The 23165-nt window shown below is 35.4% G+C and overlaps 2 protein-coding genes and 1 long non-coding RNA gene across 37 annotated transcripts in view, besides 2 other annotated features; 1 reads left to right on the forward strand and 2 right to left on the reverse strand.

Moving 5' to 3' along the window:
• Positions 1-1380, reverse strand: part of RGS5 (regulator of G protein signaling 5) — a 179437-nt gene extending 178057 nt beyond the window's left edge. For all 9 annotated transcript variants that reach the window (NM_001254748.2, NM_001414472.1, NM_001414477.1 and 6 more), the window contains exon 1: positions 1267-1380. The gene's annotated coding sequence lies outside the window, so the exon portion shown is untranslated. The remainder of the gene's footprint in view (positions 1-1266) is intronic.
• LOC127814295 (uncharacterized) overlaps positions 1-1380 on the reverse strand; it is a 77231-nt gene extending 75851 nt beyond the window's left edge. For 22 of the 23 annotated variants that reach the window (NR_182651.1, NR_182654.1, NR_182653.1 and 19 more), the window contains exon 1: positions 1267-1380. This is a non-coding gene — a long non-coding RNA (uncharacterized LOC127814295). Of the gene's footprint in view, positions 1-910 lie in introns of all 23 variants that reach the window. The other variant, NR_182636.1, reaches the window with a different exon arrangement.
• Positions 1339-1548: an enhancer, noted in NCBI's record as "active region_2013". NCBI's record gives its function as "activates an Ori minimal core promoter by ATAC-STARR-seq in GM12878 lymphoblastoid cells {active_cell/tissue: GM12878}" and the evidence as "EXISTENCE:reporter gene assay evidence [ECO:0000049][PMID:35858748]".
• Positions 1589-1818: an enhancer, noted in NCBI's record as "active region_2014". NCBI's record gives its function as "activates an Ori minimal core promoter by ATAC-STARR-seq in GM12878 lymphoblastoid cells {active_cell/tissue: GM12878}" and the evidence as "EXISTENCE:reporter gene assay evidence [ECO:0000049][PMID:35858748]".
• Positions 1599-23165, forward strand: part of NUF2 (NUF2 component of NDC80 kinetochore complex) — a 33806-nt gene continuing 12239 nt past the window's right edge. Inside the window, exons 1-10 of one of the 5 annotated variants that reach the window (XM_024450112.2) lie at positions 1599-1857; positions 2512-2740; positions 5677-5819; positions 7133-7207; positions 7873-7949; positions 8491-8552; positions 16396-16493; positions 17665-17738; positions 19026-19122; positions 20009-20071. In XM_024450112.2, coding sequence (XP_024305880.1) covers positions 5697-5819; positions 7133-7207; positions 7873-7949; positions 8491-8552; positions 16396-16493; positions 17665-17738; positions 19026-19122; positions 20009-20071 — 669 coding nt within the window. In that variant the 5' untranslated portion in view covers positions 1599-1857; positions 2512-2740; positions 5677-5696. The remainder of the gene's footprint in view (positions 1858-2511; positions 2741-5676; positions 5820-7132; positions 7208-7872; positions 7950-8490; positions 8553-16395; positions 16494-17664; positions 17739-19025; positions 19123-20008; positions 20072-23165) is intronic. The other 4 variants (XM_024450113.2, NM_145697.3, NM_031423.4 and 1 more) reach the window with 4 other exon arrangements.

Here is a 23165-nt window from a genome sequence, read left to right on the forward strand (position 1 = left end):
TCTTCATGATACCGTATAAAGCAGATAGAACTGTCACCCTATTTTAAAGATGCAGAAACGAGCTCAGTTAGGTTAAATAGCTCGCCTAAGTCCACCTAGGTAGTAAATGGTGTGATCAGGGATTTCAATCCAACTCCCTTTGACCGTAGAGATGTGCTCTCAGTCACTACGCTATGGTTCCCTTCCCTGCCTCTAAGGACATATAATTTGGTGGAAATTATGCATGTATCAGTAATCAATTTGATTTGGCAAGTGTCAATGAGACAGGTCTCTTTTTTCTGCTTTCCTCACTGACTCTAATATTTTTTTAAAATCTATTTTCTTAATGTCCTTTTGGGTCTTACTAGATTCCGACTTTGAGACTTACATCAGTAAATAGACATTGAAAGGAAAGACAAAAGCCCTGAACTAATGATATGAAATGTATTTTTATTTAGAATTGGTATAGACTTCACTATCAATAGGTTTAGTTCTTCAGGACAGGACAAAGCAGCGGAATTTGTGTCTACATTCAATACAACCTTTCTAGCACTTTTTTCACATAATTCAGTTCAGGTTCCCCATCCAACACACGACTGTCACCAGATGATGCTCTACTCTGTGACCAGATACAAGTCCTATTACGTCTTCTCCTGTCCCAAACCTCAATAAAACTTAATGGCTTTCTCCCCTGACAACCAGGCCTGCCATGGCTTCCTAACTTGTGTTAAATGCAGTGTTTCCACTCTTGCCAAAACAAACAAACAAAATACCATGTAAAAAAATACAGATTTCAGGGCCCCTTATCTGAAGAATGCAACTCACTCAGGAATGTGCAAATTTGGGGAACAGTTCAGAGGTGAAAAGCACTGATCGAAGAGGGAGAAGCTAAAATCAGGAGACCTGGTTTCTACTTTACAGTCCCACTTACTGTATAACTTCTAACAAATCACTTCTCTCTGAGTCCAGTTTTCATATCGGTGAAAGCGAGAGGATTTGACCAGATGAACTGTTATGTTCCTTCCACCTCTTGAAGTCGTGCTTATGAGCACAGAGTCAGAGGATGTGTGTTCATATCCCAGCTATGCTACTTGTGAACTACTGTGCGCAGAGAACTGCATTCTCTGATTCAGAGCCCTCACCTGAGGGGATGATAGTATCTCTCCACTATCCCTTTTCTCCCCTTTAATGAAGTCTAAATGAGATGATGCTTATAAGCATCTAACAAAACCCGGCACATAATCAATGTTCAACAAGTTATTATTACTCTGGAATTCTATAAATTACCTCTGTACTTCCTCCCTTGTCACCCTGAACTTAGTGAAGTTTCCTTCACTTGGTTTTGCTCTTCAACTCGGACCCCGAAAACGCTCTAAACGCTGGCGGAAGTCACGCAGAGATGGGCTAGACGCTCAACCCCGGTCTCTTCCCCGAAACCGCGGTGCTCCCACTTCCTGCAGTCCGAGGTTCCGACTCGACGCCAGCTCCGCGAGCAATGGTTCCGCCCTGCGCCCTGCCCCTTCCATGACAACTCCAGTCCCACCTGCCTGGCGTCTCTTGAGCCCAACCGGCATCCGTCGCGGTTGGACGTGGGCTTGGCGGAATGGGGCGGGACTTCCAGTAGGAGGCGGCAAGTTTGAAAAGTGATGACGGTTGACGTTTGCTGATTTTTGACTTTGCTTGTAGCTGCTCCCCGAACTCGCCGTCTTCCTGTCGGCGGCCGGCACTGTAGGTGAGCGCGAGAGGACGGAGGAAGGAAGCCTGCAGACAGACGCCTTCTCCATCCCAAGGCGCGGGCAGGTGCCGGGACGCTGGGCCTGGCGGTGTTTTCGTCGTGCTCAGCGGTGGGAGGAGGCGGAAGAAACCAGAGCCTGGGAGGTGAGGGGCGGGCCCGTCGTTACTTTTTATTTGATGTTAGTCCCAGAAACAACCAGAGCTCAGTTCCTACTAAACTAACGGGTGTTTTCTGGTGCAGCATAGACCGAAGAAGACGAGCTTGAGCTGAAATTGTTCAAGTTAGGCATACATTTATGTGTGATTTTTGGAAAGGCGGTGGTAATGTGGTTTATTTGGCTGCAGATGCTTGTCAGCTTTTTACACATCTCCGTTGCCAAACGTTTCTTAACCAAATCCAAAACCATGAATGAAAAGGTAAAAATATCACACCTAATCCAAAATTCAAAGGAAAAGAGCAGCGCATATATAGCACTACGCATGCATAACGCCATCATTGTTCCTTTTAAAAGTTCAAGGAACGTTTTACTTAATTCATTGAAGTTGGGAGCCATTTCTGTTTATTTTTGTTTAATCTCTGCCTCGTGGAACTGTGATGTCCACAAATAGTTTATTTTAACAAAACGAAGTGTGTAAAATTTAACAGAGTACTTTTAGTACCTACTCACTCTGCTCAGCATCGTGGTGCTGCAAATAAATGAGAAACCAGATGAGTAATTATAGGTTAATCTTTGCTACTCGTTAGACAGAGTATTACTGCATATATATTAAGTCATTTATATACTTTATCCCACCTAGGAGCTCAAACTATGTAGTTGGAAAGTGTCTTCATCTCTCGTTAATGAATAAATTGTAACTGAAATTGTACTTCGAAAGAATGATAGAATTTGGATATTGGAGGAGGTTCCAAAAGGAAATACTGGAAGTTTGGGAAAGTTAGGAGACTAACTTGGAGCAGAAATTTCATTCAATTATTAAAGGGTTTAGAAGCCTAGCAGAAAAATTTGAATTTGATGTGGTGGGTAAGGTGAGTAATTGAAGTATTTTCATACAAATATTATATGATGCGTTAAGTGTTTTTATAAGGATTAATCTGATAGCAGAGTGCCAAACATTAGAGAAGAGAGGAACAAGTGATAATAATTATGAAGATACTTTACACCTACGCTTTCTATTGCAATACTCTCTAATTCAGATGCAGCTTTTTTGGAAAAGTGACTTTTTCTGAAGTCTTTCTTTGGTCCAGTCCTTTTATGAACAGTTTTTAAGGCTGTGACTTAGATGAAAATGTAGAATGCATATTTATGCTGAAGGGAACATCTAATATGTGATGCATCAGAATCTGGATTCCAAAAGATCCCAGCTCTGTGGCCTGGCAAGGTGGCTTATGCTTGTATCCCAGCACTTTGGGAGGTTGAGGTGGGAGGATCACTTGAGCCCAGAAGTTCAAGACCAGACTGGGCAACATAGTGAGACCCTATCTCCACACACACACAAATTAACAGGGCGTGGTAGTGTGTGCCTGCTGTCGTCCTGGCTACTTGAGAGGCTGAGGCAGGAGGATAGCTTGAGCCTGGGAGGTCGAGGCTGCAGTGAGCTGTGATTGTGCCACACTGCACTCCAGCCTGGATGACAAACTGAGACCCTGCCTCAAAGAAAAAAAAATAGACAAAACGTCCTAGCTCTAAAAGGAAAGCTTGCAATCATGAAATTTAATAGTAGAAAGTACAAATCCTTGCTTAAGTTTCAAATAATCAATTTATACAACAAGAACACAAGTGACACAGCAGATGGTGACCAAAAAAAAAGAGAGGGAAAGGGGGAAAAAAAGAACAGGGAGAAGCCGCCTTGATGCAAGACGGTCATGATGAAGTTCTTGGAGTTTCAGTTGATCAGTAAGTGCTACAGCAGAGGCCATTATACTGTGCCCTAGACCAACCATATCTGGAGTGTCGTGTTCAGTTTGGGCACTACATTTTAAGAAGACATTTACAAAATAGTGTGTGTTAGAGGAAGATGAATAAGATGGTAGTTTCTAAAACAATGTCATATAAGGAGTATTTTGAAGTTACATATAGCCATACATAAAGAAATTATACTTACTTTAAAGAAGGGAGGGCTTAGCAGAGGTGTAATAGCTTTCTTCATGTTTTTGAAAATGGTGTCATGTAAACAGAGATTAATATATTCTATTTAGTTGCAGTGACTACATAGGACCAGGAGGTAAAATTACCACAAAACATATTTCCACACACTATGAGGAAGAGTTATTTAATTTGGAACCATAATAAAGTGGGAAAAAGTTGCATTGAGAGTGAATTCTGTGATGTTGTCACATGTTCAAGTTGAATTGGGAAGTTATTTGTTAGTGGTTGTTTAGAATTGCTTCCATTTATTAGAGGTTAGGCAAGTTGCCAAAGCTCCCCTTTTTAACCCTAAAATTCTAAAAAAATTAGGAGCCTAAAGAAATAGATTGTCAGAATTGTGGCCCATTTCAATTTGTTTGCAAAATTGAATATATTCACATTGGGTCTCCGAGATCATTTTGCTTCACTGGAGAGTAGGGGATCTGAAGGTAACACAACAGGTATTTAAGGGAGTGGCTGAGAGCAATAACAGTGGCTGCTATTGCTGCTCATTTCTCTCTTGCTGTTACTACTGCTATTTTTGTGGTTACAGGGAGAGATATGAAGAAAATGAAAAGATCCTTACTTACCGGAATCTCACAATGTGGTGTCAGAGTTCTTTAAACATAATTCCAGTACATTGTAACAAGTATTATAACAGGGGTAAATGCAAGGCTCTAGGACAAGGTTTCTTTTCTTTTCTTTCTTTTTTTTTTTTTTTTTTGACACAGGGTCTCTGTCACCCAGGCTGGAGTGCAGTGGTGCGATCTCAGTTCATTGCAACTTCTGCTTCCCAGGCTCAAGTGATCCTCCCACCTCAGCCTCCCAAGTGGCTGGGACTACAGGCATAGGCCACCATGCCTGGCTAATTTTTATGTGTTTTGTAGAGATAGGGTTTCATCATGTTGCCCAGGCTGGTCTTAAACTCCTGGGCTCAAGCGATCCACATGCTTTGGCCTCCCAAAGTGCTGAGATTACAGGTACAGGGTTTTTTAACATCAGCATTTATTGACCTTTTGAACTGGATAATTCTTTGCTGTTGGGGGCCACCCTATACATCGTAAGATGTTTGGCAGCATCCCTGGTCTTTATCCACTAGATTCTAGTTGCACCCACACTCCTGTGCTGACAATCAAAAATGTCTTCAGCCATTGCCAGATGTGCCCTTGGTGATAAAGTTAGAGAACTACTACGCTAGGGGGACACAGGTAGGAATAACTCACTACGTGAAGACATTAGGAGAAATGGTTTTTTGTTTTCTTAAAATTCTCACTCTGGTGATAGGATTTCCTATCAATTATATCATCTATTCTTACTCAGTTTTTTTTCTCTCTTCTATTTGCATCTACAACCTTATTAGCCATCTCACTATATATGTAATGAATAGGATGTCAAAACTGAATACAATTTTTTATGCCCTATATTACTGTTGTTTATATATAGCTTCTGCTGATGATGTTGCCTATATGCCTTGCTTTGAGAATTAATTATTAGGATTGGTCTTGTTAAGCTCCGTGGCCCTCAAATGTAAAAGAGAAGCACGTGGTTTCTCATCTATCTATTCAACCAAAGTCCTCCTTCCCAAATGTGTTGTTCTCTTCCTACAAAAGAGAACGACACTAGAAAATTAGCAGAAAATAACTGTGTCACCTTAGAATAAAAGTAATTTTAGGATACATATATAAATACTTGTATTTATCTTACTAAGATATTTGATGATAGTTAACACTACTATGAATAGTTCAACTTTGGCTCATTTTGTCATTATGTTTATTAGTTTCCAGATAATGAGAACTACTGATCATGTGGTATTTCTCATTGTTTTTTCTTCCTTCAGATTAACAGGAAACTTCCAAGATGGAAACTTTGTCTTTCCCCAGATATAATGTAGCTGAGATTGTGATTCATATTCGCAATAAGATCTTAACAGGAGCTGATGGTAAAAACCTCACCAAGAATGATCTTTATCCAAATCCAAAGGTAAAAGGTGGTTACGTTTGCATGTGGATAATGGTATTTAGGGAAAAAGTAAGCTACTAGGTCTATTGTGTGGCAAGAAAGGGATATGGCCTCCTATTTGATGGAGACCAGTCATTTTCATTGAGAGAGAATCTCTCACCTAGCATAATTTAAAAATAACACTAAGTTTATATGTGTGGTGACTTCTACATTCCCATTAGGATTCAATTCTTTAATATAGTCGTTTTCTTAAAAAAAAAAAAGCTTCTAAACCATATTAAAGTATATTAAATTTTTTATTATTATTATTGGAATGGTGGTCTGAGAGTATCATTTATTGATAGGGCTTCAAGGAACTTATTCCAAGTGGTTTTCAACCACAAAAAATGCTTAGAAATAATCCTCTTTGGAAGCCTACAGATTAATTTTCATGCATTATGCCCCAGGGGGAATTGACTTGTTTTGACAGGTATTGTTTTTTATATCTTTAGTTATTAAATACAAAATGAACTATTTATGTGTCACAGAAAATCCCAAAGTCTCCTTCCAGTTTCTTGTGTTGGACTTGAAGTGATAACGTAGTAAAACCTGGTGTAATGGTGTAGAACTCAAACTTTCTGATGTCACTACCCTCTTTGATTCTCGAAAATGGAAGAAATACCTTAGAATAACTGATGTCTTCAAACTGAGTAAATTCAGCTTTCTTAAAAGATTACCACGTTTTCCCTATATTTCCCGTCTTAATGCTCACCCAATAAACTTGTATTAATATATGGATCAGAACAGATTCACAGGTCAGCATTTAGGAACTGCTGTTTTAGAAGATCCGGTTTTTAAAATTCTATATAACCCTATTACATTTATACCTCCTGATCAAGTGTTCCCTTAAACTTCAAATCTAAGGAAACCTTAATATCTATGGCAGCAAACAAGGTTTCCTGTGTTCACACACACACACACACACACACACACACACACACACACACACATTTTCCATGTGCCATTATTTCTGCCACATGCCTGACAGCCTGTTCTGAAAGATTAACTCTTCTTCTTCTATTTCCTAAGGTGGATGGGTTGCTTGGATTGGATTTGGGTATACTTGCTCTCATTCTTAAACAGCTGATCCCATTGACCACTTATATATGAGCAAACTAAGCATCATAAGGTGTTTTAAAATTTGGAAAAATTAAGGAATATTTCAAGGGAAATGGAATAATTTTGTTGCCTTTTTCTTCTTTGCTTTCATCGATTATAATATTGTATGGTAATGATGATAGTGACATAGCTTTAGAGTTATGCATCGGAGTATTCAAAGTTGTTTTTTGCTGTAGCCTGAAGTCTTGCACATGATCTACATGAGAGCCTTACAAATAGTATATGGAATTCGACTGGAACATTTTTACATGGTGAGTTTAAGATGAGGCAAAATTATGGGGTTTTTTTTGTTTGTTTGTTTGTTTTGTTTTGCTGCAGTTCTGCTTACAATGCATACTGGCTTTTAGGATAGGAAGTTCTTGACTTTATTTTTAACAAATTCAAAGACATATAAAATTAGTGTCACTTACAATGGGATCTTATGCACAATAATGGTTTATATCCATAGATTTAGTAAGATGAAAACCATAGTAAAAGACTTAAATGACACAGATCATTGATGCAATGCAATTGTTATAGATTTATAGGTTTGTTTTCAGAGACTACAATAAACAATAGCTAAGTCTTCATATTGTTCTCTTTTCAGGAAGAACTCCCAAATTAGAGTAGAAGATATGCAGTAAGATTGAAACAATTGAAATGAGGCAACTGAGCTTTTAGCAAATTATTTGCATAATACCTGATATTTAGTAAATGCTAACCTTATTCCATTTTTAAAATTCATTTAAAAATCTTTATTAAGCACCTACTGTGAACCTAGCATTAATAATGATGAAAACTCTGCATTTATACTAGGATATGTATTAAGGTTTTTAATTTAATGATAGTGAGTTAATATATTTTGATCTTGGTTGAAGATTTTTCTCATTTTGTCTAATCAATGTGTAATGTCGATTTTGTGGTTTATTGCATTTAGATGCCAGTGAACTCTGAAGTCATGTATCCACATTTAATGGAAGGCTTCTTACCATTCAGCAATTTAGTTACTCATCTGTGAGTAAAGAGTGATTTTATTGTCTTCGTCTACATTCGTATTTATATTACATTAAGTTTTCTTAATGACATGGTTTTCTTTGGTAAGGAATACCTACTATGTTCCTTTTCATTTCATCCCATATACATTCATTCAAACTTTCAAAATTGTAGACTGTCATCAAACAGAACTGCCTCCAACTGTGCCACTTTCTCAGCATATTTTCAATTGAACTTCTAAGATACTGTAAGTCGAAAATTGTTTACCGTCTTTGTGAAGAGGTTTGAGTTCTTAAAAGAGTCTTAGTGTCACCAAGTTTATGTACTATTTATTAGAATCTGTAACTATACTTTAGTATTGCATGACTACATGATTAATATACAGAAAAAATAGATTTCAGTGCTATAGGGTTATACATTATAGTAGAATTCTGGCTTCGTCCACTGACCTTAAGAAATATATCCAGAAATCTCTTTCTGAAAATAAGATGTTTATATCCTATAGCTTAGCATTTAATGTGCAAAATACTTTTCAATAGTCTTTTTGTACTTCATCTTCAAGGGACTCATTTTTGCCTATCTGCCGGGTGAATGACTTTGAGACTGCTGATATTCTATGTCCAAGTAAGTGAGAATTTAAAACAGTTTTAATGTCTGGCTTCGATCTACCATTTCACCTTTCCATCAGTAAATGTAAAAAAAAAAAAAAAGGAAAAAAACAACTTCAAGGAAATTGCCTTTAAAAAGTATATCCCATTTTTAAGTATGAATTTTTAATATCTTGTTGAATTTCTTTTTTTCCTTTTGAGAGCCACAGAAAAGCTGTTTTTCTGATGTTTTTTTAAAACTCCTTCCATTTAAAAAGTGTTCTATAAATTTGGGAATATGACTACAAATAATATGTAAGTATGATTTTGCATAGTGGATTCATCATACCAATTTTATCAAATGTAAGAATTACTATTTACCATATAGAAATTATCTTTTATCATTAAAAGAATAGTCATAATGTTATATTAGAATGTAAAATTCTAGCTTTAATTGTCCTTAAATTCGACTTTGATATTTATCCATCAAGTTACTGTAAGTTAAGAGATTTGGTGTGTGTATTAGGCTATTCTTGTATTGCTATAAAGAAATACCTGAGACTGGGTAATTTATAAAGAAAAGGGATTTAATTGGCTCACAGTTGTGCAGGTTATACAGGAAGCATGATGCTGGCATTTGCTTGCTTTTGGGGAGGCCTCTGGAAGCTTAGTCATGACAGAAGGCAAATGGGGAGCAGACATGTCACATAGCCAGAGGGAGCAAAAGCACAATGGGGAAGGTGCCACACACTTTTAAGTGACCAGATCTTGTGAGAACTCACTCACTGTAGACAGGACAGCATCAACCATACTCTTAACTTTACAATCCAGCAATCATGCTCCTTGGTATTTAGCCAAATGAATCGAAAGCTTATATTCACACAAAAACTTAAACACAGATGTTTAGAGCAACTTTATTCATAATTACCAGAATTTGAAAGTAGCCTTGGTGAATGAATAAACTGTAGTACATCTAGAGAATAGAAGTTATTCAACACTACAAGGAAATTAGCTAGCAAGCTATGAGAAGACATAGAGGAATATTAAATGCATATTATTAAGTGAAAGAAGCCAGTCTGCAAAGCCTACACAGCTATATATCATTCTGGAAAGGGCAATATTGTGGAGACAGTGAAAAGATCAGTGGAAACCACTGGTTAGGGGTGAGGGAGGGATGAATAGGATCCCTTTAGCACTAAGGATTTTTAGGGCAGTAACAATACTCTGTATGCTACTCTAATGGTAGATACTTGTCATTATGCATGTGTTGAAACTCAGAATGTACAGTACCAGGAGTGAACTCTAATGTAAACTGAATTTGGGATGATAATGATGTGTCAGTGCAAGTTCATCAGTTGTAACAAATATACCACTCAGGTGAAGGAAGTTGGTGGAGAGGAGTTTGTACATGTGTGGGGACCCAAGGTATATGGGAACTATCTACTTCCTGTTTAGATTTACTTTGAACTTAAAACTCCTTTCAAAAAGGAAGTCTATTAAAAATTAATTGACTGTATATTTGTCTATTTTTGAGCTCGCTATTCTACTCCATTGATCTGTATGTCTATCTTTATGTCAAGCAGTACTTTGATTATTTAGCTTTACAGTAAATTTTGAAATCAGTGTTACTCCTCTTTCTTCATCTTTGTCAAGATTATTTTGGCTATTCTGGTCCTTTGCATCTCTATATGTATTTTAGTATTTCCAGCTTGTCACTTTCTACCCTTCTTCCCCTGAAAAAGCCATTTTGATTGAGATTACTTTTAATGTATTGTTCATTTGGGGGATATTTGACAATTTAATAATATTGGGTCTTCTGATCCATATGCATGCTATATCTCTGCATTTATTAAGGCTGTTAAATTTCTCATAATGATGTACTATAAATTTCAGAGTGCAGACCTTGTATAATAAATTTTGTTAAATTTATGCCTAAATCAAATTTTTAGTGGTTCTGTAAATTTAATTTAAATTTTCTGATTAGTCATTGTTAGTGTAGACAAGTACAATTGATTTTTATATATTGACTTTGCTAAAATCACTTATTATTTGAGTAGATTTTTTTTTTTGTAGATTCCTTAGGATTTTCCTTATTGACAATTCTCAATTTTTGTTTGAGGACAAAATTTTTTTCTAATAGAGATGCCTTTTATTCTTTTTTTTTTTTTTTTACGTTTCTGCACTGGCTGGGACTTTTAGTATAATGTCGAATTGAAATGATGAGAGCAGTCATCATTACCTTGTTTCTGATCTTGGGGGAAACCATTTAGTCTTTCATTATTAAGTATTCGTTGTAGGATTTTTCTTAGATGTTTTTTATCAGAATGTACAACTTTTACTTTATTTCACTGAGAGTTTTTATCATGAAGGGTATTAAATGCCTTTTCGGCCTCTAGTGAGATAATCATGGGTTTTCTCTTTTTTAATCTACCAAATTACATTACTTGATTTTTGAATATCAAGCCAACCTTGCATTCAGGATGTGTCCTGATTGGTTATGATATATTTTTAATATATTGCTAGATTTGATTTGCTAATATTTTATTAAGTTTTTTTGTCTGTGTTCATGATGGATATTGTTCTGTAGTTTTTTTGCAATGTCACTGCAGTGACTGATCTGAATATCAGGATATACCAGTCTCATACAATACATTTGGAAAGATTCCCGCTTCCATTTTTGGGAATTGTTTTATAAAATTTGTATTATTTATTTCTTTTTTGAATATTTGGTAGAATTTACCAGTGGATCTATCTTGGATTGCAGTTTTCTCTCTGGGATAAATTAAGAATTCAAAGTCTTTAATAGGTTAAGGGCTATTCTGGTTGTTTATTGTCAAAACTCCTGAGTGAGCTTTGGTGATTTATTTTTTTAAAGGAATTTTTAGGTTGGCAAATTTGTTAACATAAAATTGTTCATTATATTCCCATATTATTTTAATGTTATTGGGGTAGGTAATAACATCTTCTCTATCATTTCTGTCATTAATAATTTGTTTATTCTTTTTTTTTCCTAACCAGTCTGGTTATCAGCTTATCACTTTTCAAAGAACTAGCTTTTGACTTAATTGACTTTTCTGTATTTCTGGTTTTTGATTATTATTGAATTTTGAGCTTATTGTTATTCTTTCTTCATGGTTATTTTGGGTTTCATTTACTCTTTTTTTCTAGTTTTGTTTTTTTTAAGGCAGTAAGCCAAGTCCATTAATTAGATACCTTTCTTCTTTCCTAATATAGGTATTTATTGCTGTAAATTTCCCTCTAGCACTGCTTTAGCTGCATCCCCCAAACCTTGATATGTTGTATTTTCATTTTTATTGGGTTCAAGATATTTTCTAATTTCCCTTTTGATTTCTTTTTTCATGTATGGGTTATTTATAAGTGTGTTGTCTGCTTTCCAAATATTTGGGGATTTTCCCACAATTTTTTCTGTTACTGATTTGTAAGTTATTTCTTTTGTGATCAGAGAATATACTTTGTATCATTTGAATCCATTTAAATGTATTCACACTTATTTTATGGCCCAGAATATGGTCTATATTTGTTCACTATGGTGGCTGTAATAAATCACCACAAACTTGGTGACTTAAGATAACATACATTTATTCTCCTGTAGTTCTAGTGGTCAGAAGTTCAAAATTGGTTTCACTGAGCCAAAACCAAGGTGTTACTAAGGTTGCACTCCTTCAGATGGCTCTAGGAGAGAGTCAGTTTCTTTGCCTTTTCTAGCTTCTAGGGTTGCATTTCTCAGCTCATGACCTTTCTGTCTTTGAAGCCAGCAGTGTAGCATATTTAAATCTGTTTCTACTTTCATGATCACATTGCTTTCTATTTTCTGTGTATAGTCCAATCTCTCTCTACTTTCCTCTTATAAAGACACTTGTGATTGCATTTAGGGCCCACCTAGATATTCTAGAATAATTTTCTCATTTCAAGATCTTCAATTATACTTATAAAGCCACTTTGCAAATAAGATAACATGCACAAATTCCAAGGAGTAGGACCTGAACATCTTTGGGTGCTATTATTCAGCCCACCACATGGTCTACCCTTGTAAAAGTTCCATGAGTGCTGTTGTTGATGAGTGGAGTGTTTTAAACATGTTAATTGGATCCAGTTGGTTAATAGCGTTGTTCAAGCCTACTGGGTCCTTACAGACTTTTTTCCTGGTTGTTCTTTGAACTGTTGATAGAGAGATGTTAAAATCTTCAGCTATGATTGTGAGTTTGTCTGTTTTGTCTGTTCTTTTAATTTTTGTTTTATGTACCTTGAAGCTCTAGTTTTAGAAGTGTACACATTTAGAATTGCTATATCCTCTTGATGACATAGTCTTTGTTCTGAAATATACTTGATTTTATATTAACATAGCTACTTCAGGTTTCTTTTCATTAGTATTACCATGCCATATCATCCTTGTAACTTGTGCCTTTGGATTCAAAACGGGTTTCTTGTAGACAGCATATGGTTGGGTCTTGCTTTTTAAATTCAACATCACTATCTCGGTCTTTTAATCGGAGTCTTAGACCATTTACATTTAATGTTATTATTGATATGATTGGGCTTAAATCCACCTTTATACTATTTGTTTTCTCTTTGTCCTGTTCTTTAGTCCTGTTTTCTCCATTTCCTGCCTTATTTTGGTCTATTAAAATAAATTTTATTTTATATAATACTATATATGAAAAAGATATTCTACCTTGTCTGTTATTGGCTTATCAGCTATATGTCTTTTTAAAATGGTATTTGCTCCAAGTTTCAGTATACATGTATATATCTTTAACATACCATTGTCTATCTTCAAATATATTATACCTTACAATAATATACTTTTATTTTCTCCACTACTGGTCTTTGTGCTATTGTGTCATAAATTTTACTTTTACAGATATCATAAACACCTTAATCGATATTAGATTTGTGTGAAACAGTTATCTTTTAAAGGATTTTCTATTTTGACATTTAAAAAATACATGTAGTGGGTACAAGTCCACATTTCTTACATACATATATTGTGTAGTGGTGAAATCTCGGCTTTTAGTGCACCCATCACTCAAGTAGTGAACATTGTACCAAATCAGTAATTTTCCAACCCTTGTCCCTCTCCTACCCTCCCACATTTTGTAGTCTCCAGTGTCTGTTCTACTTTGTATGTCCATGTGTACCCATTATTTATTTCCCACTTATAAGTGACAATGTGCAGTATTTGACTTTCTGTTTCTGAGTTATTTCACTTAGGATAATGGCCTCAAGTTCCAACCATATTGCTGCAGAAGACATTATTTCTTCTTTTTAGTGGTTGAGTAGTGTTCTCTGGTATATGCATACCACATTTTTAAAATCCAATCCTCCACTGATTGACGCAGGTTCATTTTATATGTTTGCTATTGTGAATAGTGCTACAATAAACATACAAGTGCATTAATCTTTTTGATATAATGATTTCTTTCTTAAAGGGATTTTTTATATGAGGAAAAATGTCTTCTATATTAACTCACATTCTTGTAAGTACACCAAATTTCCATCTGGTATGATTTTTCTTAGACATGAAGGATTTTATTTAACACTTATTGTAGTGCTGTTAAAAAGCCTTTATTTCACTTTAATTTTTGAAAGGTATTTTTCTTGAGGCCAGGTGCAGTGACTCTCACCTGTAATCTTATCACTTTGAGAGGCCAAGGTGAGAGAATTGCTTGAGTCCAGGAGTTTGAGACCAGCCTGGGCAATATAGCAAGATCCTTTTTCTACAAAAAAAATGTTAAAAATGAGCCAGATGTGGTGATGCATACCTGTAATCCTAGCTATTCCAGCAGCTTAGAGGGGAGAATCACTGGAGAACAGGAGTTCAAGGCTGCAGGGAGCTATGATCGTGCCACTGCATCCCAGCCTGAGCAACAGAGTGAGACCTGCTTCTTTTTGAGAAGGAAAGAAAGAAAAATGGATAAATAAAAGGTGTTTTTCTTGAGCCCTCGGTGGATATGAAAAGTCAACTTTTCAATCCACAGTTGGTTAAATCTGCAGATGCAGAATGCACAGATATGGAGGGCTGACTGTACTATGCCATTTTTTGTGTGTTTGTCTTGTTTTGTTTTTTTTGTTTTTGTTTTTGAGATGGAGTCTCGCTCTGTCACCAGGCTGGAGTGCAGTGGCACAGTCTCGGCTTACTGCAACCTCCGCCTCCCAGGTTCAAGTGATTCTCCTGCCTCAGCCTCCTGAGTAGCTGGGACTACAGGTGCATGTAACCACACCCAGCTAATTTTTGTATTTTTAGTAGAGAAGGGGTTTCATCATGTTGGCCAGGATGGTCTCAATCTCTTGACCTTGTGATCCGCCCACCTCGGCCTCCCAAAGTGCTAGGATTACAGGTGTGAGCCACCACACCCAGCCACTATGCCAGGTGTAAGGGACTGGTGCATCCACAGACTTGGGTTCTCTAGGCATCTTGGAACCAATATCTAGCAGATACTGAGGGACTACAGTATAGAATTCTTAGTTGACAGTTTTTTCAGTGCTTTAAATATATTGCTCCATTGTCTTCTGGCTTACATTGTTTCTGATGAGAAGTCTATTGCTTTTCTTATCTTTGTTTCTCTCTATATAATGTGTTTTGTTTTCCTCTGGCTGCTTCTAAGATTTTTTTGTCTTCTAAGCTAGTTGTTAGCCGTTTGAATATAATGTGACTTTTAGGTGTTTGTTTTTGGTTTTTTTTTGTTTGTTTTTCTGTTCTTTCTTCCCTCCCCCTACACCCCTGCCCGCCATTTACGTTTGTTCACTTTCTTGGATATGGTTATTGTTTTTATACAATTTGGAAAATATTCAACTATTCTGTAAAAGTCTTTTTGTCCCTTTTTGTAGGATTCCAATTACACATTAGTTATGCTGTTTGATATTGTCTCTCAGCTCACAGATATTGTATTCATTTTTTTCTCTCTGGACTTTATTTTAGATAACTTCTATTATGTCTTCAACTTCATGAATCCTTTTTATTTTAGGTCTGAACTACTGTTATTCCCATCAGTGTAATTTTTATTTCAGGTATTTTTCAACTCTAAAAGCTTAATTCAGATCTTTTTTAAAAAATCTTTGCTTTTATTTCTTCATATTGCTGATTCTTTTCTCTATCCCCTTTATTTATTTATAAAGGTTGTTTTCACATTCTTATCTACTAAATCTACCATGTATGTTATTTGTGTTATGTTTTAATATGTTTCTGTTGATTGATTGTATTTTCTTATTATGGATCATGTCCTTTTTCTTGGCATGTCTGGTTATTTTTAGCAGATGCCAGACATTGTGAATTTTACCTTGTTGGTTAACTGAGAACCTGAGGGGATTCCTCTACAGATTTCCAGAACTCTTTCTCTTTACAGCTTCCTCATCTTAATACTCAGTTCCATAAATCCTAGTTGCTTTGGCTTCTGCAAACTCTAAACTCTGTCTTCTTGACCCAGCAAGATGTACAAGTTTTATTTGTGTTCTCTTTCTCTGGAGTACAGCCTGTAAACTCTTCAGTCATGGACTGGTGCAGTAATGGAATTCACCTCATTTGTTTCTCTTGGAGATTGCTGTCCTATATTGCCTTTTATCCAGCATCTAAAATTTGTTGCTTCATGTATTTTTGTTTTTCTAGTTTTTTAATATGGGAGGGTAATTCTGGTTTCTGTTATTTCTTCATGACCAAAAGTGGTTTACCTTTTTTTTTAAAGTTATTAATACAAAGATAATTTTTACCTTTAAGTTAGAGCAGATTTTCTACACTTTGTTATATCCTATACAGTTTTATTTTATATATTATGAGCAGAATATATAGTGGAAGAGGATGAATTTTCATTTTCATATTATGTTAGTTCAAAGGTTTATTTAAAGAGTCTTGCTTTCTATTTTAGAAGCAAAACGGACAAGTCGGTTTTTAAGTGGCATTATCAACTTTATTCACTTCAGAGAAGCATGCCGTGAAACGTATATGGAATTTCTTTGGCAATATGTAAGATTTAAATATGTTTTGGGGTTACATGCCAGATCAGTAACATTATTTATGAACTTATAATCTGTTTTGAAATGATTGTCATAGACAGCAAATTGCTGTATTGCCTTTAGAATTGAACTCATTTTTATATTTATATTAACTTGCAGATTTTAGTTACTGGATAGCATATCTCAGAATCAGATTTTCTTTGAAATTTGGTAACACTATGGAGAGGCTGAGTTCTGTTTGTTTTAAAATCTTGTAGCTGAGGCTTGTTTTCCTATATTAGGAAATGTTAGAGAATATTGATATGTTTACATTTTTTTCTTTGAAGTTTGCGTAGATAGTGTAGCTTTTATTAAATAACGGACATATTTGAGGTTTATATTTGCCTTTTAAATAATGGCATAATTGGACTGTTTGTGGTGGTGTTTATCATGCTTGCCCAGATTCAGTCCAAGGCAATCTCTTTAACAGACAGAAACTCATTTTCCTTTCATCAACAACTTAAAGAACTGGGGGAGATTATGGGTCATCTGTGTGATTTTTCCCATTTGTCTTCAATAATGGGGTACCATACTCTTAGAAAAACACCAGAGTAACTCCAAACACTTAGACCCTAGGCTTCAGCTTTACTGAGCTATATAGATCCGTACTTCTTTGCACAAATCATGCTAACCTTATAACTCCTAAACATCATATAATCTTCAAAGCTTACCACATTCATGTGCCAACATACACACACTCTCATAATTTTGCTTGGTTAATTACTATCTTTAAGACACACCTCAGACATCTATCACCTCTATGATGTCCTATCACCCTTCTTCCCAGCCATTACCCAAGTTGGGTTAGATGTCACTCTTGTTGGTTCCCATTATATGAAAAATAACAAGCTATTTTGTGGGTTTTTATTCTTGTATCTGGCTCCTCAAGGAGGCTTAGCTACTTAAGGTCAAGACCTATAAGTTAGTCTTCTTGAGAATTCTCAGTACCGAGCTCAGTGCCTATGATGAGAATCCAGCATTTGTGTTGAGTAAAGAAATTCCTAATTCATTTGTCATGAAGGCCTAACTCTATCTTAAATTTTTTATTTCTGATGGTTCAAACTATAGTATGAGTAAACATTTTGGACACACTGATTGTGTTGAAATGCACTAATATGAGATGATTAAAATTGCTTTAATAGAAATCCTCTGCGGACAAAATGCAACAGTTAAACGCCGCACACCAGGAGGCATTAATGAAACTGGAGAGACTTGAGTAAGTGGGAGATTTACAAGTAAAATAAATGCAATTTCAAAATGCAAAATGAATTGTAAGTAGTATTTTACAACCCTATATTCCACCTTAAGTCTCTTTTATCTCCCTTAATAAATAGCAGAGTATTTGAGTTTGCCTTTTCTTAAAAAAAAAAAAAAGAAAAAACTAGTTTTTCTTCTAACTCTTAATTATATAATACATCCTTTGGCTTTTGTTGTTGTTGTTGTTAGTGTGTTAGCCTGATTTGTTTAAAGCCATTAGCTTACTGTCCTGATTTATGTCTGGAATATTGTCTTATGTAGGTGAGCAGTAACTGCCTGGACTATCTTCCTTCAGATCAGTTGATTCCATCAAATGTTTACTCCTACAACAAAGTTTTCATTTATTTGTTTTGTTTTTGACTTATAGGTTATGTAGGGAAAAGAATCACTCAACAGTTGTGATTTCTTGGCCTTCCTTATATATATATATTGATTTTGAGCAGGATTTTTAAAATCTCTTCTAATTTATAGATGTCTTTGAGGTTATCTGTTTTAGATGAGAGATTTTCTAACCTGCCCCTGGTTAAAATTGCCTTTACAGGCAGACATTAGAATATAACAGGGTAAAAGATGCCACCAACTAAATCAAAACAAGAATGACAAAGTGGAGAGAATATTTGCAGCACATGCCACAAAGCCTTACCAACTCTAATAACAAAACCCATGTAATATTCCTAATATACAAATATAATATGCAGAACTACAAAGCAGTCCTGTAAACTGACAGGAAAAATGATAACTTTAAAAAAATAGACAAAGGCTTTAAACAGGGAGTTTATATAAAAATAGCTAATATATCAGATAGGCAAAAACTAAATTTGAAAACGTTCTTATAGAAGAGACTTGAACACGTGTAAGTGTTGTAAGGAAGGACTAGTAGCGGAAGAATGGATGGTATGGGAGTAAGAGTTGTGAGGCAATGATAGCCAGTGCAGAGGTAGAGAAATCAGCATTACCAGAAGGCATACAATATTCATGTTATTAGGAGTGAAGTTAGAAAGGATAGGTATGTGTGTGGATGGATCCATAGATTTGATAGTAGAAAACTGAAGGAGCTCATGTGATTTTTATTTTCTGCCTGTAGTAGAGGCCAGATCATTCATTTTAAATGATTGCCACATGAAAGGGTGTAATTCAGAAACATAAAAGTAGACAATTTCTTCATCTCAGTTATTTGAGGACAGGTATTTCATTTTAGCCTTTCAAAAGTGAAGAGCAGTATTTTAATCTATTTTGCTGTGTTAAGTTCTGTTCCAGTTGAAGAGCAAGAAGAGTTCAAGCAGCTTTCAGATGGAATTCAGGAGCTACAACAATCACTAAATCAGGATTTTCATCAAAAAACGGTATCTGTTGTGAGGCACCTTAAACTTTAAAAAACAAAATTTGTTTGTAGATGTGGTGGGACATATAGTGGAGGTAACAGCACATTGCTTTCTCTATTACCAAAGAAACAGAATATATTTCTGTGCCCATTTGTGCCCCTTATAATGGATACATACTTCTCTCAACCATCTAGAACCGTGATGGTTTTTGTTGGCAAAGTTTTTTGTTGTCTTATTGAATAGAATTTTTTAGGGTTTTCCTAGGTTTAATTTCACTGCTTCCAAACCATGCACTGTGGCACCCTGGATACTGCAGTAAACCCTCAAGAATGCCTCAAAATATCTTAAATTTTCAAGGGAACCACTGTAGTACTCAGCATCTGTCATATCCTTTTTGAATTCAAGGTAGTTCACAGTTTCAGTTTTTGGTCACATTCCTTTCATATCCTTGTGCAGCTGGGATTTTGGTATTTGCTGTGATAAAAGCAAGTACAATGTAAAAATCACTGTGACACAGGAAATGAGAATGTCTATATCCAATCTGAAATATACGCTCCAACGTACGTGAATTTATGCAGTGCCCAATAGGTACATACATCTAATTAGGAAGTACTCGAGGTTATTTAAGAACAAAATAAAAATTTTTTCTTTCAACTTATATGTATTATTTTTCAAAGGGCTACAATGTTAGGACATAAATACTAGGCCATTATTTGGAGTTAACTACTTAGTAAAGGAACTCTTAGATATTTCTTTTGGCTTAGGAGCATCATGAACAGAGAAAGTTTGAAGAATATCTGATCTAACACATTTAACTCCTTTCTTACCTTAATTTTATGAGACAGCAGTGAGTGGCTAAATCTAAATGTTTTGAATCATTATAAAACGTGTTTGCTTTTTCCCTTAGATAGTGCTGCAAGAGGGAAATTCCCAAAAGAAGTCAAATATTTCAGAGAAAACCAAGCGTTTGGTAAACATCTTTTCTTTTCACTAGCATTTAAAGTTTGAATATATTGTGTGGAGGAGTATTTTAGCTGTGTGTGTTATTATGGGCAAATGTTTCTCCCTTTTTCCCTTCAAAATGAAACAATCTTTTTCAACTTAAATATAATAGATGACTATTGTTTTAAAAAATATCGAAACACAGAAATGTATGAAGAAAGTAAACATCACCTGAAAGCTCACTATACAATCTGATTTATATCAAAGATTGTATTTGCTATGCAAATGTAAATATGCATGTGTAATTTTACATAAATGATATTAGGCTCAATACATCTTACCTGCTTTTTTCTCCACTTAGCGATATAATACAGTTATGAATTTTAAATAGATCCTCATTATATTAATGCTTGCATCTAGTTGAGCATTATATGTATGTGCTGTCTTGTAGATCCTTTTAATCCCCTTCTGATAGACTTTTACATAGATTCTAATTTTTTGCTATTAAACAGAAATATATGTATGTGTGTATCATATGCATACATATGTACATACATACATTTCTGCAACAGGCTGCTTTTATTTAAAATAAATTTTTTTGTTTAGGATTTCTGGGTCATAGGAAATACACATGTAAAATTGACCAATGCAGCCAAGCTGATTTCTAGAAAGATACCAATTTATATTCCTACCAGTAGAACAAGAGACTGTCCCTTTCCCTATACCCTTGCCAAAACTGGATGTTTTCAGGCTTTTAAAATCTTTGTTACTGTTACATTGAAAAAAAAATCTCATTTTATTTGTACTTATTTTATTTTTTAGTTTTTTTGAGACAGAGTCTCACTCTGTCACCCAGGCTGGAGTGCAGTGGCGCGATCTTGGCTCACTGCAACCTCCACCTCCTGGGTTCGAGCGATTCTTCTGCCTCAGCCTCCTGACCAGCTGGGACTACAGGCTTGTGCCGCCACACCCAGCTAATTTTTGTGTTTTTAGTAGAGGCGGGGTTTTACCATATTATGCAAGCTGGTCTCAAACTCTTCACCTCGTGATCCACCCGCCTTGGCCTCTCAAAGTGCTGGGATTACAGGCATGAGCGACCACACCAGGCCAAAAAAATCTCATTTTAGTTTAATTGCTTTAATTCTAGTGATTTTGTCCATCTTGCTTAGTGATTTCTTGTTATTTCTTATTTTGTATATTGTTTGTGTACCTTGTTTATTTATTTTATTTATTTATTTATTTTTTGAGATGGAGTCTCACTCTTTTGCCCAGGTTGGAGTGCAGTGTGGCATGATGTCAGCTCACTGCAACCTCTGCCTCCCGGGTTCAAGGGATTCTCTTGCCTCAGCCTCCCAAGTAGCTGGGATTACAGGCATCCACCACCACTCCCGGCTAATTTTTTTGTATTTTTAGTAGAGATGGGGTTTTACCATGTTGGCCAGGCTGGTTTTGAACTCCTGACCTCAGGGGACCTGCCCACCTCGGCCTCTGAAAGTGCCAGGATTACAGGTGTGAGCCACCGCACCCGGCCACTTATTTATTTTTCAAGAAACTCCATGAATTAGGGATTTTAGCTCTCCATTTATTTGTCTGTCAAATTTATATATTTTTTGCCCATTAAAAGGTTTATGTTTTTATGTAGTAAAATTTATAGATACGGCCTTTATGGTTTTTGGCTTTAATTGTGTACATAGAAAGGACGGTCCTATTCGTCAGATTATTTTTTAATACTATATTTTCTCATTGTACTTTTATAGTTTCCTTATTGTTTTAAAATGTATACTTTAGATCCTTGAGAAACTTACTCTGGTGTTATATTTCCCTTATTTTTCTATCTTTTTTTTTGCTGGGAAATGCTTTCATCTGAGTAGTACTTACTATGGCTCAATTTTATTGTTTATTTATTTCTGTCTCATTTAAATCCAAGTTAAAACAAGCACTTTGTACTTATTAAGTTTAGACCTTTTATAAAGAGGAGAAAAGTGATGAAAGTTAACACTATTGTAAGGAAAATAACCTCTAATCTTGTAGAGCATTAAAAGAGTAGATAATGTGGTGGTTTGCAGAACTCTAAGAATGAAATAACAAAATATACAGAAATTACAGGAATGCATTATATCTAACATTCAGTTTTGGCGTCTGAGTTAGCTGATCAAAAAGTAAGAATCTTTTCTTTTAAGTTAAAAATATTTAGACAAATTACACAACACAGTAATACATTCCTGTTATGAAATATTCTCTCTTTACATACACACACCCACACATACATATATATATATGTATGTATATAGAGAGAGGGGAGTATACACACATATAGAGAGAGACAGAGAAGGGTACGAAATGTGAAAGGCCTTCTCTCAGCCCATTTTACCTTGAGGTAATACTATTCCCTTCCTTTTTCCAACATCATATGCATACACATATAGAGGCACATAATCATGTGTCACTGTTTTGTTGTTCTGTTTTTATAGAAATGTATTTATGTGTTATATGTTGATCTGTGAATTGGTTCTTTCACTTAATATATCTGGAAAATCTTTCCTGTCAATACATAGAGTCATAGAGGGTCCCCAAACAATGTAAATACAACTTATCAACAAATATCTGAGAAGAAAATTCATAGGAATTTTTTTTGACATAATTTCAGACTTACAACAAACTTTCAAGAGAATTTCCAGCTACCCTTCACTTTGATTCTTCAAATAGTTACATTCATTTTTGAAATTCAGGAGAAGGGAATTTGTTTTCATTCAGCAAGCATGTAGTGAGCACCTTCTCAGTGCTATAGCTTTGTTTGGGTACTGGGAAAACCAGGATACATTTTCACAACTCCAATTTGCTCAGTCTTATGAAACACATATTAAGTACATAATTATAGTGTTGCATGTACAAAAATTGTACTATTTAAAGAAGAAATGTAGAGAAAATGGGAGCAGGATTTTCAGGGATCAGTACAAATTTAGCAGGCAGACCGGAGTGGGATAATGATATTCTAGGAGGACCCTACTGGTCAAAGAAAGATCACTTATACTTGTCTAAACATAAGATCAGAATTACCAGATTGTAGGGTGCAGTAGGGAACTGGTGGGAGATGAGACTAGACAGGAAGAGAGTTAAGAGCC

The sequence above is a fragment of the Homo sapiens genome, chromosome 1 (assembly GCF_000001405.40).
Source record: "Homo sapiens chromosome 1, GRCh38.p14 Primary Assembly".
In the NCBI taxonomy this organism is placed as follows: Eukaryota; Metazoa; Chordata; class Mammalia; order Primates; family Hominidae; genus Homo; species Homo sapiens.